Source organism: Homo sapiens, chromosome 1 (assembly GCF_000001405.40).
Source record: "Homo sapiens chromosome 1, GRCh38.p14 Primary Assembly".
NCBI classification, from domain to species: Eukaryota; Metazoa; Chordata; class Mammalia; order Primates; family Hominidae; genus Homo; species Homo sapiens.
The window spans coordinates 64,855,157-64,872,302 of NC_000001.11; the positions used below are offsets into that span (position 1 = coordinate 64,855,157).

At 45.4% G+C, this 17,146-nt stretch overlaps 1 protein-coding gene across 12 annotated transcripts in view, besides 2 other annotated features; it reads right to left on the reverse strand.

The window, feature by feature from the left end:
• JAK1 (Janus kinase 1) overlaps positions 1 to 17,146 on the reverse strand; it is a 234,518-nt gene that overhangs the window by 21,928 nt on the left and 195,444 nt on the right. For 9 of the 12 annotated variants that reach the window (NM_001321852.2, NM_001321854.2, NM_001321853.2 and 6 more), the window contains 6 exons: positions 14,155 to 14,318; positions 11,710 to 12,052; positions 9,631 to 9,816; positions 4,949 to 5,106; positions 2,500 to 2,623; positions 353 to 542 (listed from right to left, as the gene is read on the reverse strand). In NM_001321852.2, the coding sequence (NP_001308781.1) occupies positions 353 to 542; positions 2,500 to 2,623; positions 4,949 to 5,106; positions 9,631 to 9,816; positions 11,710 to 12,052; positions 14,155 to 14,318 (1,165 nt within the window). The remainder of the gene's footprint in view (positions 1 to 352; positions 543 to 2,499; positions 2,624 to 4,948; positions 5,107 to 9,630; positions 9,817 to 11,709; positions 12,053 to 14,154; positions 14,319 to 17,146) is intronic. The other 3 variants (XM_047419676.1, NM_001321857.2, XM_047419677.1) reach the window with 1 other exon arrangement.
• Positions 5,852 to 6,397: an enhancer, noted in NCBI's record as "H3K27ac-H3K4me1 hESC enhancer chr1:65326691-65327236 (GRCh37/hg19 assembly coordinates)". NCBI's record gives its function as "activates a minimal SCP1, AML or CMV promoter by ChIP-STARR-seq in naive H9 embryonic stem cells {active_cell/tissue: H9 hESC(naive)}" and the evidence as "EXISTENCE:reporter gene assay evidence [ECO:0000049][PMID:30033119]".
• Positions 6,486 to 6,535: an enhancer, noted in NCBI's record as "active region_1130". NCBI's record gives its function as "activates an Ori minimal core promoter by ATAC-STARR-seq in GM12878 lymphoblastoid cells {active_cell/tissue: GM12878}" and the evidence as "EXISTENCE:reporter gene assay evidence [ECO:0000049][PMID:35858748]".

Consider the following 17,146-nt stretch of genomic DNA (forward strand, 5'->3'; position numbering starts at 1 on the left):
AAAAGATGTGCCAGGAATATCTCTCAGATAAATAAACCAGTGACAGGAGACTCCTCAAGGCATTTTATCTTAAGGAAGAAAGAAGTGATTTTCTGCTTACTAATGCTGAGCATGCCTCTTTCTGCAGCCTAATGAGATGCTGAGAAAGGTATATGCCTCTTCTACAGAAAATGCTCACACTCAAGGGATTGGATGTGAGTTGGGCACAGAAGTGTAATTAAACTCAATAAAAAACACCTAGAAACTGTGGGGAGGGTCCACTTTGTTTAAGTCAGTCAGCGTGTTTTGGTCGATCTGGGTCTCAGCACATTACTGATGGGATACAGCCTGGCTCTGGCACAGGGAGACGAACCTCGGGGCTTGGGCTGGCAGCAGCGTTTTAGCATGAAGCTGATGTTATCCGTGCGCAGGATCTGCTTCTTGAGGTGGCTCATGAGGTCTCCCAAGCTGGGGAAGCTGCGGTCCGAACCGTGCAGACTGTAGCGGCCCTTCTGCACCTCGATCTGAAAGTTCTTGAACTGCTTCTGGGCACCCTGCACCTGCTATTCGGGAAATGACCAGAAATTACATGTTTAAAATGGGGTCAGGCATGGGTATGTAAGATATTAACATTAGGGGAAGCTGCATGAAGAGTAATTTTGCACCATCTCTGTAACATTTCTGTAAATCTAAAATTATTCAAAAATAAAGTTTATTATCAATAAATAATCCAACCAACAACTAACTAAATAATAAAACAAGGTCCAGGAGAAGGCATTGATAAAAGGGAGTTAATACTACAGCAGACACAGTAGCTATTTCTACAAAAGCGTCACTTGGTTTTTCACCTGTAAGATAAAGTTCATGAAAATCCAACCTCATAGGATTGTTGCTACAATTATCTAACATGGTGTATTGAAAAACTTAGTAAGCCCTTTATAAAGTCCAGCAGATATTATATATGAGGTAATAATTATGATGGCACAACTTCTCAAGGAACAGCCTCAAACTGAGCCCTTCCAGGCCATGTCTCCACTTGAGGAAAACCACACTGGGAGCTGGTGTTCAGTGTCTGACCCAGGTTTGGGACACTGTGGTGCCAGATAGGAGGTATAAGCAGTTTTCCCTCATGGGCTCTTTTTGTACAAACTAAACTATTTTAGTGGTAAACAATGAGGGCCAGAAAGACTTACATAAGCTGTAAACTAGGAGATGATATTCAAAATCTCAGTTACTTCATCTGTACAATGGGATAATATCACCTACCTAATATGGCTATTACAAGGCTTAAAAAAGCACAAGTAGGTACAACGCTTGGCACAGGGTCTGGTGGGCCACAGTGTGCGGTGGAAGTAATCATTTCTATGACTGCTGTTTTCCCCGGGTGATGTGACATTGTTAGGGAGTCACGGACACTCTTGGTACTGCACAGGCCAATTCCACTTCAGGAGGAGGCTGGGCTGTCTCATGCACCCCTCCATCGTAAACACATTAAACTTCCTCCAATGACTGATGAATAGACGGCAAGCATTCTGGGAAGGCAATGAACCTGACAGGCTCTGAGCCACGGAGCCCCGAGGCCCAGCTGTTCAGCAAGAGCCTGGGCAGGTGGTGGTGTTCCTGCATTGCATCACCCAGGACACTTGGCAGCGCTGGTTCCTTCTGCCGTTTCCTCCTCCCACTCTTGACTGAGTCCAGCCCCAGGGGTTCGCCAATAAGCTGTCCTTCCTGCGTCTACCCTCCGTGCCAAAGGCCCCTCCGTGTCCCAGGTCTCCCCATGCATGTGGAGCCTAACCAGTACTGATTAAAGTGTACTGATGTAAAGTGTTTTGTAAAACTCACTGTCTTTGAAAATATTCCACTTTGTAGTTTTTTTAATTACATGAATAACAAAGGCATTTGTGGTCTAGTGAGGCAAAGTCAGTAATTCTGGTGAATATCTTAGCCCTCAGAATGTATCTCACATCATCCCCAGCTTCAGCTACGCTTCAATCACTAAAAGACATCTCTATTCATTGTTCTAAGATGGGGTGGCAATTTGTTAAAGTGTCTGAAGCTACCATTTGGAAAAAACTGTGTTAGGCCATGTGGATGAAGTGGCATTTGGGCGCTGGTTTGTACCAGTGAATGCTGTAGACAGGCATAGCTCTGGGTCTGAGATGATGGTGGCACTGAGTCTAAATAAACCACTCTAAATAATGACACTATACTTTCCAAGTGTTGGGTGTGAATTGGTTTTCTGGTCATGTTCTGTCTTCCAGAGCCATGGTGGACCCCCACCATGGGTCCCATGAAGGAAGAAGGGCCCTACAGGGGGAGGATGCAGGGGTCTGGCTACTGGGGAGCAGTCTCCTTTTGAGAGCAGGGGCCCTTGCCTGACCTCCCAGGGATCTTCTCAGAGACCCAGGCTTTTCAGTTCCACCCTGCCAAGGGTGGTTCTGTCTGCAGCAGCTCCTGAACCAGGCTACACTGGACACCTCATGGCTGTATGGCCTGGTCCAAGCCAGTGTCCTGACTGACCTCAGACTTCTCAAAGCAGGTGACGGTCATGAGGATGTTGTCAAAGTCGGTGCAGCTCCACCTCAGCACGTACATCCCCTCCTCGCTTCCTTCTTGCCGCAATTTATTGATGGCGTATTCTGTACTAGAGGGAGAAGTAGGCAAAGGGAGAAAGAGCTCACACCAAACAGGACTTTGAACCTCTGGGCTATCCACTCTCCTGAGCTGCCTCAAGTCTTAACAGCCCCATCACACTATCTGCCCTGCCTGGGATCCTAAAGTCCCCTCTGATGCCATCCATGAGCGTAGCGGAAATACCGAGTGGCCTCAGGACCGATGGAGTCTCCAAGGTTGAGAAGAGGACTCAGACTCCTGCCCAAGGCAATGAGCCCTGCTTGTCCCCGCATTCCCTACAGACATCATCTCCAGCTCAAGACAGAAGAGCCTCTCTGGAGGCTGGTGATGAGCATCTGCCACGCCTCCCCTCCACCCCTAGCCAGCCCAGTGGAAGCACAAACCTCATGGGGGTGGGAACTGGAGGCCATGTTGTTTATTGTTGTATCACCATGGGCTCACACTGAGAGAATACATCAGTGAGGACTGGACAGATGTTAGTAGGAACAGGCCTGTCTTACATTTCTTTGTATCCCCAGGACCAGTGAGTCCTGGCATGTAGAGAGCAGTGAATACTGACTGAATACATCCCTGCATGAGGTGAGTGCTGCTTGCTAAGTGCTGGTGAGAGAGGGCCGCCATGGTTCGTGTGTTTTAGAGAGACAGGGACATTGTGTACTTTCTAACTGCGCCATGCCTTTGCATGTGCTGACCTCTCATCTAGGTACCCTTTCCGTGCTTTAAGGCCTGGCAAGCCATCATTGATTCTTTGGTTTAATCAGATTTGAATGCCACCTACTCTGAGCAGGCTCTTTAGGCAAGGAATGTCAGCATCCCATCAAACATGAAATATCCATTCATTCAACAAATACTCACTGAGGGCCTACAATGTGTCAGACCCTGTGTGTGCTAAGAAAGCAGTGAGCAATGCAGCCCCAGCCTTTGGGAAGCTCATATTCTGGGAGGTGAGGGTAGTCAGACCAGGAACAAATGTTATGTTATGTAAATAAACATAGTATCTCAGGAGGTAACAACTGCCACTGAAGGAAAATAAGGTAGAGTGCAGTGGCCAACATGTATGGGATGGAGAAGGGAAAGAGGTATGATTGTATATAAGGTGGTCAAGGAAGACTTCACGGATAAGGTGATATCTGACTAGCACCTGAAGGAAGTGGAGGCTGTGCAGATTCTGGAGGAAGGGCATTCTGGGCCAAGGGAAGAGCGAGTGCCTGGGCCCTGAAGCACAACCATGGCTGGGACATTGGCAGAAGACGCTTTTCAAATGCTCAACCCCTTGCTCTGCCATTCTTTGTGTGTCTGTTTCCCTATGAGTCTGTGAGCCTCTCAAGGCCAGGGCCATGTGACTACTAAGCTACCTGTCCACAAGGCAGCCGGAAGAGGGAAGAAGGTGAGAAGCACATCATGTGAAAGGTGGCAGAAGAGATGCTTCCCCAGATATTCTGTGGTCTGAAAAGAGAGGCTCAGAAGAAACACAGCAGCTGGCTGTTTTCCTTTGCCTGAAGGGCTGTCATATGTAAGAGAAAGTCAAAAGAATCCCTGTTGTCTCAAAAGGCAGAATTCAAGTGAGTAGGCAGAAGTTACAGAGAAGCCAACTACAGCTCCATATCAGAAAGGTATGCACATCTCTCACAGTCAGAGCTCCAATCCATGGGCTGCCTCACACATTGCCCATCACCAGAGGTACTTCAGCACAGGCTGCCAGTTCTGAGATGCAGGTGGGACAAGGCATCCCACACAGCCCCTTCTGGCCTTAAGGCTGTATTACCCTCACGGTCCCCACTGTTCACCTGGCACCTTGGGACAAGCTGACTGACAATTCCATTTATTACACTGTCTGATGCTGAGATCATCATCTGATCTTTCTTTTTCTTCTTTTATATATTTTAGAGATGGGATATTGCTATGTTGCCCAGGCTAGAATTGAACTCCTGGGCTCAAGTGATCCTCCCACCTCAGCCTCTCAAGGAGCTGAAACTACAGGCACATGGCAGCACGCTCAGCTGTGTTCAGTGTTTCTTGAATTGCCCACATTGTTTGACACAGCAAGAAATCAGAAAGTGTAGTACTTCTTGATCAGCTATGGAGAGGTGAGGGGGTTAAACTATGAAGAGAGATCCAAGTAAAGAAGCAGCATTGAGGGGCTGCTGCAAAGAGGATGGTAGGAGATTACAGGAAGGCCTGACCAGAGCTTGGACAGCAGGGAGGAAAGGAGGACAGCCAACAAGTACCAGGCAGCATGGTCAACTGGCCTGACCTAAACAATGATGACATGCCCCATCACTAAAACACGGGCTCTCTGCACACCAAAGGCAACTGATAAGGTTCTAGGACCAACCAGATTGGACCATGACAGCCATTCTGTATGTTGTGGACGATCAACGGGGGGGCCACGTCGGTGCAGAGGTAATGATGGGCATCTGCTGTGAGCCGGAAGTAGCCATCTACCAGGGACACAAAGGACAAGGCCTCCTCGTGGGAAGAGAGCTTCAGTTCCTGTTGAGAGAGAAGAAATTCCCACGGTTACATCATGTCTCTATCAGCTTAAGTGGCTGACTCTGTAGGGAGGTGCACAGTGAGAAGATTTTTATAACCCAATGGGAACCCCAAAGGGAAAACCTTTTCATCAATACTAAATATACCCCTTGCATGCATTTATTTATTTATTTATTTATTTATTTATTTATTTATTTATTTATTTATTTGAGATGGAGTTTCACTCTGTCGCCCAGGCTGGAGTGCAGTGGTGAGATCTCGGCTCACTGCAACCTCCGCCTCCTGGGTCCAAGCGATTCTTCTGCCTCAGCCTCCCAAGTAGCTGGGATTACAGGCACCTGCCATCACACCTGGCTAATTTTTGTATTTTTAGTAGATACGGGGTTTCACCATGTTGGCCAGGCTGGTCTTGAACTCCTGACCTCGAGTGATCTCCCACCTTGGCCTCCCAAAGTGCTGGGATTACAGCCGTGAGCCACTGTGCCCGATCCCCCTTGCATTTATATAGGACTTTCACTGTTCAACACATTTTCCCATCTATTATCTCAAACTATCAGATGACTCTGTGTGTGTGTGTGTGTGTGTGTGTGTGTGTGTGTTGGGGGTGACGCGGTGGGGGAGGCTGTGGCAGGCAGGGAGACATGCAGAGAAGCTGTCCCCTGGGTCCGTGTGTGTGTGTGTGTGTGTGTGTGTGTGTGTGTGTGTATGTGTGTGTGTGTTGGGGGTGACGCGGTGGGGGAGGCTGTGGCAGGCAGGGAGACATGCAGAGAAGCTGTCCCCTGGGTCCAGATGGGAGAAGAGGAAGCCTGAATCAAGGTGGCAGAGGCACAAAAGTGGAGGTGGGAAGGGGCAAAGCATGCACCGTGATCTTGGCACTCAACGGTGAATGGCTAAATCGGCATTATTCCTGCTTAGGAGAAAAGAAACAGAGGCAGTGTGGTTCATCTCATAGCAGACTTGCTCTAGAAGGTGAAACTCCCGGATTTTAATCTAGGAATAATCCCAGGCCCAGTGAAGAGTTTGCTAGATTAAGCCTAGGGAGCTCTGAGAGTTGGAGAGAGCAGAGTGTCTTACTCAGAGTGGGAAGAGGCAAAGGCACCTGTGGAGAAGAGGAGGGAGGGGATTTCCATCAAGGAAGGTGTTCTGAAAGACACCTGTGTTGTAGATTTGGGGTACTTTTGTCCTGATCATTGATCCCTGAAGAGACTGCCCATTTGACAGGAACTATCAGGTCAATCAAGAACATTTCCTGGCAAGGGAAGGTATGCAAAAGCCATGATTTGGAGCTTTGACTCACAAAAAAACATTAAAAAGCATCTGAGGCTTCAAAAAAGGGCAAAATGACTCTTTCATAGCCCTGTAGAAAGGAGAGGCAGGTGGCAGAAATGAGAGGACAGTGAAGGGAAAAAGGAGCAGGGGAGACAAGCCACTCGGCAGGAGGGAGGTCAGGGGCCTAGTGCAGCTGTAATGCCGAAGGAAGCATGCCTGGGGCTATGAGGAAGGAGGCCTGGAGAGGGCAGGGTCACCATAGGAATGGCACTTCAGAAAAAAGAAACCACACTGAGCACACTGCCTTGCGGGTGTGACCAGGCACCCACCTGCGGATATCCCTGAAGAGCAAATTCAAGATGCTCTGAACAAGGGGCAGGCTGGCCTGGGCAGCCCCTCACCCAGCCACATGATAAGTAAGACCACATCTGCACTTACATTTCCTGAGAACAGGAGTCTAAACAGAAATGAGGGATGCCAAGGAGATGTAGAGAGAAGTGATACATGAAGGTCTGACTTGACAACATGCTGGTATCAGGGTTTCTTCAAAGCACTGCCTGATTAAAGGGCTTGGGAATCCCATGGCTGGGAGGGGACAACGAGGGCATGAGATTCTAAACTGGCAGCATGGAGCAGTGGTCAACCCTCAGCTCAGGCTCTAGAGCCAGCTGCTCTGGGTTCAAATCGCAGCCTCTCCACCTGCTAGTAGGGTTATGCATATGGAATCATCATTTTTATAGGTCAAAATGGTCAAATATTGGCAATTTCAAATGCTTTAACCTAACAGCTCTGTGACCTTGGACAGGTTACTTAACCTCTTCGTGCCTCAGTTTCCCCTTATCATACTCACCCATAGGGTTGACATGAAAATTAAAATAGGTGGTATTTGTGAAGTGCTCAGAATAGGAAGTACCTGACACACAGTAAGGGCTAGCGTGGTAAAGAAAAACAAACTAATGGAGGAATCAAGTATTTCTTTCTTCCTGCCCTCCTCCTGCTCCCTCCACAGCACTGTGGCTTGGCATAGAGTCATTGGCCCATGTGGCCAGGGTGAGCTCTGACTTAGATGATGGGTGCACCAACTTGTGTTGGTGCTAGACTTGACTGTGTCAACCAGGACAGGACAGGATGGGGCAGGCTCATAAAATGTGCACCAGGCATACACCACGTTGAAGAGCCAGATCATGGACATGTCAGCCTCTCCCTCACTCCCTTCGGGGTCTCTGGGGGATGATAACGCCTTAGAAGCCAAAGCAACACAGGCAAAATGCACAGGCAGGAACCAGACAGAGCTGGGCAAGTGCCTGCCACTTTCTCACTGAGTGACCCTGTGCAAGATCCCATGCCTCTTGATTAGTCTCAGATTCCTCATTTCAAGTAGAGCTGATGCTCAGTCCCCTAAGGTTCTTACAAGGACTAAGACAGACCAAGATACAGGCACAGCATATAACACGGGGCCTAATATCCAGGATGCAGCATGTGACACGGGGCCTAATATCCAGGATGCAGCATATAACAGGGGGCCTAATACCCAGGATGCAGCATATAACACAGGGCCTAATACCCACGATGCAGCATATAACACGGGGCCTAATACCCAGGATGCAGCATATAACACGGGGCCTAATATCCAGGATGCAGCATATGACACGGGGCCTAATATCCAGGATGCAGCATATGACAGGGGGCCTAATATCCAGGATGCAGCATATGACACGGGGCCTAAAATCCAGGATGCAGCATATGACACGGGGCCTAATATCCAGGATGCAGCATATGACACGGGGCCTAATATCCAGGATGCAGCATATGACACGGGGCCTAATATCCAGGATGCAGCATATAACACGGGGCCTGATATCCAGGATGTGCTCCATCAACAGCACTTCTTCTTTTCTCCCTCCATTTCGCATCTTTCCATTAACATCCATCTGAGCTCTTCTACTTCTCCCTCTTCACTTTGTTTTTACTATATTTTTCTAATAAAATTAATGTAAGTTTTTTGTTTAAAAAAAAAGGAGGGGAGAATAAGAAAATTAAAACCACTCATAATGCCACCATAAATAAGTAGCTGTTAATATTTATTTTTCTAAGAGCATGTGTATATACATGCATACCTATTGATATTTTGAACAAAACTGGTCCCATTCTATAGGTAAAGTTTTATATCCTGCTTTTTCCCCTGACCTTTTTTCCAGGTCATTAAAAAATTCAGCAACCTGATTTTCTAATATTCTGCTTCTCAGGCAAATTGTGATTTATTTTCCTATTCTCCTATTATTGTATATTTAAGTTATTTTCAGAATTTTGACACTTTAATTACTACTGGAATGAATATTCTTATTCATAAACCATAACCTGCCTCTCACATTGTTTCTGGAAGATAGATTCATTCTCTAGATTCCTGAACAGAGGGATATATAAATATTTTCAAGGCTTTTAACAGGTTACCAAACTGTTTTCCAAAAGGTTATATCAGAAAGACAAGTTATTCTGAATACAAGAGAGTGACTGTCTGCCCTAAACCGTATCACCAGGCTCTTCCTCAGCACTGAGCGTTATCATTGTGACACAGTATCTGCCACATTTTGGCAGAATGTGGCCTTTCCTGGTGTTGGCTCCACTCACCTTAAGAGTGCTAGCTGTCTCACCAGCCGCTCTCTCTGCATGTTGTTGGCTGTGACTTCCCCTGACACAAACAGGTTTATTTTGGCAGAGTTCCCACTTCCTGCTTGTTTAGATTATGTCCTCAAGTGATACCAAAAAAGAGGAAGTGAGATTAAACACCCTTTCCTCTGTCCGAGAGTCACTGGGGTGTGCCTGACACCATATCGATGACTGCCACTGTGGCCGAGGCTCGCCTGAGGGCAACGTGGGGCTTCCTGCTTTGCACTTCAGCTCAGCAGAGAGGCCGTGCCAGAACCCTTGGGAGGAAACACTGACATTCGCTGGTTTTCTTTTCCTTCAAATCCACTAGCTTTGTGAATTAAATATTGATGCTGAGGTGTATTTGGGAGGGAAGCAAATCCTAAGGCAGATTCACATTTCTGAGACCAAAGAAAGGCACTGGAATGTATCGGTGTAACTTTAAAACACTGAGAATGCCTTGGTAATAGGAACTTTTTGGCTTCAATAAGAAAATCCTGTTTTCTCTTTAGGACAGGAACTCTGAAAATCATGTGCTGCAGAACGGAACTCAGCAATTCTCCCTCTCATCACCAGATCCAGACTTAAGAGCTTCTGGGACAAACTTACCATTTTCTTGTTGTCCTGCTTGTTAATGCTGACCACAGACTCCTTTATTACAATGTGAGTGATTTCAGGGAAGTAAGAAAAATTGTTCCACTCTTCCCGGATCTTGTTTTTCTCCTCATCCTTCTTGTGTTTATTTTCCAGTTTTTTCCGCTTCAGTTTATTTTTTTCCTTTTCAACAGAAACAACCTGATAAGATACATAAAAGGGACAGGGTTAAGTTGCTTTCTTCATTTTCTATTGGTAAAAGGTCAGTGCTGCTGGGAAACCTATGCAGGGCCTAGGTCCAAGGAAGAGAAAGCCAGCTCTTCTGGACTTGCAGGATTGGGGGAGTTGGCACCTGCAGGGTTAGGACCAAAGAACTGGGTTGTATCAGGGAATCCTGGGCTTTCATATCTGGAAGAGACCTTAATGAGCACACTGTCTAAACTATATAATACGCAATGTGCACGGAAACTCAGAAAGGGAAATCACTGCTCACTAGACATGCATCTACATTCAGGTCTCCTCACTTCCAGACTACTACACATGCTCTGACACAAACAGATAACATACTCTTCCCAGTTACCACTGAGCTGAACATGAGCTTTCTCCTATCACCAATCGTCTTGACTTTGTAACAGTACTCAAGTCGGGATTTTCCAGAGAAGACACGAATTTCATGCTTGAAATAATCTACACACTGAATAATATATATCTGCACAAGTGAAAATATTTTGTGTCGCATGAGCCCTGGAGACCAGAGATCTAGGTTAAGTTCCTGCCTCTGCCAATTACTTAACTAGTTACATCATCTCTTTGAGCCTCATTTTCCTTATTCATGAAATAGCTTACATCTTCACAGGGTTCTCTGAGATTAGACAAGTGCTAACTAACATAGTATAATACCTATTATACAGAAAACCCTCAGTAAGTATCAAGCATTATTGTTTTAGCATGAGAATAAAACAGGAGGAGAAAATGAGTCTCATATTTTATTCATTTATTTAATTTTTTGAGACAGTGTCTTGCTGTCACCCAGGCTGGAGCACAGTGGCAAGGTCATGGCTCACTGTAGCCTTGACCTCCCAGGCTCAGGCGATCCTCCCAACTCAGCCTCCCAAGTAGCTAGGACCACAGGCACGTGCCACCACATCCTGCTAATTTTGGTATATTTTGTAAAGATAGGGTTTCACCATGTTGCCCAGGCTAGGCTCAAACTCCTCGGCTCAAGTGATCTGCCTGCCTCAGCCTCCCAAAGTGCTGGGGTTACAGGTGTGAGCCACTGCACCCACCCACATTTACTTTAATATTATTAATTACAGTAATAATAATTGTAACGGCTATAATAATTTATTCAACATTTATTGTATTGCCAGGCTTTGTGCTAAATGCCGTTTAGTTTCTTCACAACCTTATGAGTTAGACAGTAGGTACCTCCATTTAACAGAGGAGTAATTTTTAGCTGCTGATAAAGGTGAAATAACTCTCCTAAGGCCATATAAGTCATGAAGCTAGGATCTGAACCCCGTCGACGTGGGTCTAAAACCCATGCTCTTAAGCCACTCTGCTCTATTTCTTCATCCAATAAATATCTCATAAAGAAGCTCCCATAAAGCAAAATCAATTAGTCAATTTCACGGAGCCAGAGGCCTAAGTTCAATTCTTGGCACAAATGCTTATTAGTTATGACCTTGGGCAAATTTCTTAACTTCTCTGTGCCTCTTTGTATTCATCCGTAAAATGGAGATAATAGCAATACTTCCCTCAAAGGTTTTTTTATTTTTAGAAATAAATGAGTTAATACTTATAAAATACTTAGAAAAGTACTTGGCACATGGTAAACACTCAGGAACTATCTGCTATTATTATTATACTACTACGTATTATACATGTTGTTATATTTCTCTACATAACTCAATAAATACTTATTTAGACCTTGTGCTACAGGGATGAAATAAAATATGAATGATACATGGTCTCCTAAATAAACTCAGCCTATGGGAGTGATGGACATGCAGACAGATGACTCCAGAAGGATAAACAGCATACGCTATGTGACACGGGAATGTTCTCTTTGATCGACTGCCAACAGCCACTTACATTTGGTTTATGCCTCCACTGGATTCCAAGATTCCCAGTCACCATCACTTCGTAGTAGAGAACGTTTCCACCGTCATTCGAATGAAACCAATTCATCTCATTTTCTGATGAAATCAGTAACATGGAAGTCTCAAATATTTCAGCACCGTAATGTTTTGTCAAAGTTTCCAAGGTAGCCAAGTATTTCACCTTCAGGTCATGCGTGGACACGCTGCTGTCACAAATGGTCTTGTTGTTAAATTCCTTTAGGAAATCCTTGAAAACATTATTTATCCGCATCCTGGTGAGAAGGTTCCTCTGTCTGATGGACTTATTCAATGTTTCTGGAATATATCGCTTGTAGCTAAAAGACAGTAGAAAAGTACATCTCCTTTTCATGTACAGGTTAGGAGAAAATAGTTTAGAAACAAATCTAAGTCCATGAATCCACATGTTGCCAAATGGGAAAGGGAGATCTATTCCCAGAGGACGTTAGATGGAGTTAGCACTGAAGATGACCATCATAAGGAGATGCAGGTGAATAGAAACTGGGAAAGAAAAGCAAAGCACATGCTCCACAGATTTCACTGAAATGGGAATTGCTACAAGTATTGCCCAATTTTCTGGGTCACCAAGGCAGGGCATCTACATTTTTGCTTGCTAGCTTCACCATTCTTGTGCACATTAGTACTCACATCTACACACTGTTACTAGGATTGAGCATCAGTTAGAAAATGGTCTGCAAGGTGTTAGGAGCAATTGTCATTTTGTGTGATGAGAAATGCTTTGTATGTTCTATTTGCATGTCTGATTTATAACTTTTCTAAACAGATCACATTTTTTATTTTAAAAATGAGAAAGAAAGGCTGGGGGCGGTGGCTCACGCCTGTAATCCCAGCACTTTGGGAGGCCGAGGCGGGCGGATCATCTGAGGTCGGGAGTGAGAGACCAGCTTGACCAACATGGAGAAACCCCATCTGTACTAAAAATATAAAAGTAGCCAGGTATGGTGGCACATGCCTGTAATCCCAGCTACTCAGGAGGCTGAGGCAGGAGAATCGCTTGAACCTGGGAGGCCAAAGTTGCGGTGAGCCAAGATCATGCCATTGTACTTCAGCCTGGGCAACAACAGCAAAACTCCGTCCCCCCAAGCACCCCCACAAAAAAGAGAGAGAGAGAGAGAGTGAGAGAGAGAGAGAGAAAGACATACTAAAGCTAATTAATACAAAAGACTTAGTGTTTGCCATGTGAATATGAATCAGATATATTATTTAAAAGATCAACAGGTAAGCTGAAAGATTAGTTACCTATCCAGGTGCTAGTGGGCGAGTATCTACAACAAACAGAATCTAAACAAGCTGATATACTGCTAGAACGGGAGTCAATGTTAAGAAGAACGTTGAGTACCCCTGAAACAAAGAACAAGTCCACTGGGGGCCAAATGCGGAGACTGATCTGCTTGTTACTCCCAGGACTGAGACAGCACCTGGCCCCGGGTCATCCCTGCCGCATGGAGTGGCTTCAGAACAGTAGAAAATTGTGAAGTTTGGGATTCATCCTCAACAAATGTTATTTTTCTTTTAGATTAATGTAATATAACAGAATTAGAGAAGAACTGTCATTTTTCAATTTAGCTTATGAAAAAATAAAGAGGAAGTACCCAAAGTGAAGGCCACAGAAAAAAGAGAAAGCAGCAGTTGAGCAGTATCGACTCAATCCCTGCATCACTGAGGAGCAAGCTGTGATCTGCTCTAGACTCTGGTCAAGCGCAAGGAGAAACAAGCAGCAACCTAATGAGAAGACGCACGCCGCCTATCACAAACAATGCAGCTACGAAATCCCTTCTTCAAAATGAGACTGTCTTCATTTATGACCATCCTAATAGCCCACTGGTGAAAAAAAACTATTGGATGTCATAGATGGACAGAACTTAAATATTCCTTCACAGAGACTTGATCTCAAACGATATTTTTAAGTAAATGCAATTTTCTTGAGATATTTAATAGTAGTTGATCAATTCTCACATTAGAATTAACAGCTCTGTAGTGAACTACTGTAACGTGTTCAGAGTTCAGGCTTGGGATGGTAGTAGCTGCTTACAGAACTGTACTGAGAAGGATTTTTAAGATGGGTCCAAAACAAAAGGAAAAAATGCAGTGATAGACGACAGTGTCCACCATGGGCAAGGAGGGGACGGAGAAGGCCTGGGGGCCACTAATTTTATTGGCATCCTCAGCTCAGAAATTTCACCCAAGCACAAATTTCTGAGATTAGCAGCCAACATCCAAAATCAAGACACAATTATAATTAGGCTACGTGTATGTAGTAAACATTCTAAGGAAGATCTGGGTTTCATAGAGAGCAAAGGTCAGCCAAACCCTGGCAGTAATTAAGCTGAAATGTGTAAGAACATGTAGAAACACCACCATCCTCACAATCAATTCTTCAGCCAGTGGGAAGCTTTACCTGATGTCCTTGGGCAGTTCTGGCAACTGCATCTTCTTCATCATGGCATAGTGTGAGATGGCCAGGACAGCCATCCCTAGACACTCGTTCTCAATATCATGTCCATCCTGCTCGGTCTTGGGGTCTCGAATAGGAGCCAGGCATTTCACCAAATCATACTGTCCCTAGGAGCAAGGGGGAGAAACCATGAGAGCCCACCCGTTTTTGATCTTGACAAGAAGGCTACTACACAGGGAGGGGCCGCCTAGAAACGCAGCACAGCAACGAGACGAATCAGATTGGCAGTTTCTCTAGCATCAGAGCTCTTTTAAACAGAGTTGGGTGTGAAGGGGCTCAGGAGATGTTCTCCCCCGCTCATTCATTTAACAAAACATTGACTGAGCACTATGCCAGGCACTGGGGAACAGTACAGACATACGAAGTCCCTTCGCCATAGAAGTGACGCTGACAAACACTGTGTACTAGGCCTGGACTGCGCCAGAGCAAGGGAAGGTGACACTGGGCTGAGGTCTGATCATGCATGAATTCCACAAACATGCTTAGATGGCCTTGTCTAGGAGCTGGGTGTACAGAGTTGATGGGGCTCTCCCTCCATTCTGGTGTAGCTCTAGGGAAAGGGGAACGTTCCGCAGTGCATCATCACCACATGTACATTTTCCCACATCTACCGTTCGAGTTTCCCATAGTGAAATGTGTCACCAAAATATACCCCCCCACTGATGGAGGTGCACAGCATTCTAAGAACTAACGGGAACTTTAAACACAAAAACTAAAACAAGGCTAACCAGCAGTGCCCAGCCCAGCTTTGTACAGAGTGAAAACGATAATTCCAGTGCCGGCTCCCACTGATTAAACCCTGCCTCAGTGCTGCCACACAGTGCTTGGCTCCTTTATTTAGTCCTCATAACACCTTACAACGTGGATGTTAACATCGTCATCTCCAACAGATGAGGAATCTAAGGCACAAAACAGTAAACAGCCCCTATTCAGTCACTCCTTCATTTGGTAATTATTGAGAACTAATTATGGGCTAGATGTTATTCTAGGTGCTAGGGAAACAGCAATAAACTAAACCACGTTCCTGATCTCCTGGAGATTCCACTCTAAGGAGAAAGAAAAGAATAAATGACTAGGAGTATCTAACGTCAGGCAGTTATAAAACCCCAAGTCAAGTAGAAGAATTGAGTACCCTGGGGGCCCAGGGCTTAGCAAGTGGTAGGCTGGGATTAAATCTAGACCTGGCCAGGACCACTGTTCAATGCCGTGCTACAGCCACATTCGGTTTTCATCAAATGACTTAAAGTACATAGAACACTAAAGTGTGAACTCTTAAGCCTTTCTCCAGCTTGGAGCAGGGCAGGCACAAAGCCTGGGAGAAGTGTTCCTGCATATGTGAGATGCTCTCTTTCCCTGAAGAACTTCAGATTAATGGTTTTTGGATGGAGGGCTCCCACTGCTCCCGTTTCTCTTCTTTTCACCATGGGATATCTTGTTTCTCTCAGGTGAGGAAAGGTCACTGACATTCCAAAAACTTCTGAGGAACAATGATCTATGCCAGTAATGTGTGAAGAGCAAAGGAAAACCTGAAACTGTCCTGTTGGCCTGTGGTTTTTTTGTAAACATTCACTGTACAGCTACCTCAAGTCACTTATTCCTGAGCCTCCAAAAGGTCAATCTAACGCCATGCTTATTCTTCAAGTATGGCACACTCTTCCTTTACACCTCTGCTCCCGGGAAAGGTAAAGAATAAATCTCAGCTATGGATACACAAAACTGGGAAGCTGAATCCAAAAAGACCATCTAAAAATGGCCAGTTCATTTTCTTTTTTTCCACACAGTATCTGCCTGGGGCTGTGCACTGTCCCCTTTCTCTGTTGTCTCTATGGCAGTTCTAAGGCATAGATGGAATGGAGATAATGGACAATTAGTAACTAAAGCCCTACAGTGGGACATAACTCTGACACAGATATACTGATACGTGTGTGATCTCACACATAATGGTATACTCTAAGGTAATAATAAACAGAACGTGTACAGGACCACCTACGTATGCAGTTGTTCACAACAGACTATAAAGTAATAGCATAAAAGGGAAAACGAGAAAAACAGAAAATGTCCAGGAACGGGTGACTAAGTTAAATAAATGACGGCTTTTCCTCTGGACTCCAGCCTCATTACTCAATTTCCTACTTGAAATCTCCACTTGTATGTTTCACAGGCATCTCCGAAAAAGGACTCCTGATTTCTGCCCCTTCCCCACCCTCTTCCCCCAAGACCTTCCCTGTGTGGGGAATGACTCCATTATCCATCCGACATCACCCAAAACAGAAACCCAGTCATCATCTTTGATTCCTCAAATTCTCTCAGCTTCCACATCCAACTCAACAGCAAATCCTATCAATTCTATCTTCAAGATGAACAGCAGATCTACTCATTTTGCTCCACTGCCACTGTTGCTACACTAGGCCAAACCAGCATTTTCTCTCCCAGGATCATTGCTGCAGACTCTCAGCTTGTATGTTTCGAGTGTACTCTTGGACCCAGCACAATCTGCTTTCCACGTGTAACAAGAATCATCGACTTGAAACATACATAAAATGAAGCCTTCCAAATGGCTTCCCACCACACTCAGGGTTAAAGCATAACCCCTTGCCAGCTCCTACAAGGCTCTGTGTATGCAATCTGCCCCCACCTGCCTCTCCAGCCTCGTTCCCCATCACCCTCCTCTGGTCTGCAGCCACATGGTCTCTCCTTGCAGCTCTACTGGCCCTCAGGGCCTTCCCCCATTCTGTTCCCTCTACATCAGATCTTTTCAACTGAGGCTGAGAGGAGAGTCGGCAATATTGAAGACATTTTTGGTCATCACTGCTAAGGAGAGAGTGCTACTGGCATCTACTGGGTGGAGGCAGGGATGCTGGTAAATACCCTACAATGCATAGGGCAGGCCATCACAGCAAAGAATCATCTGGGCCAAAAGGTCAGTAGTGCTGCT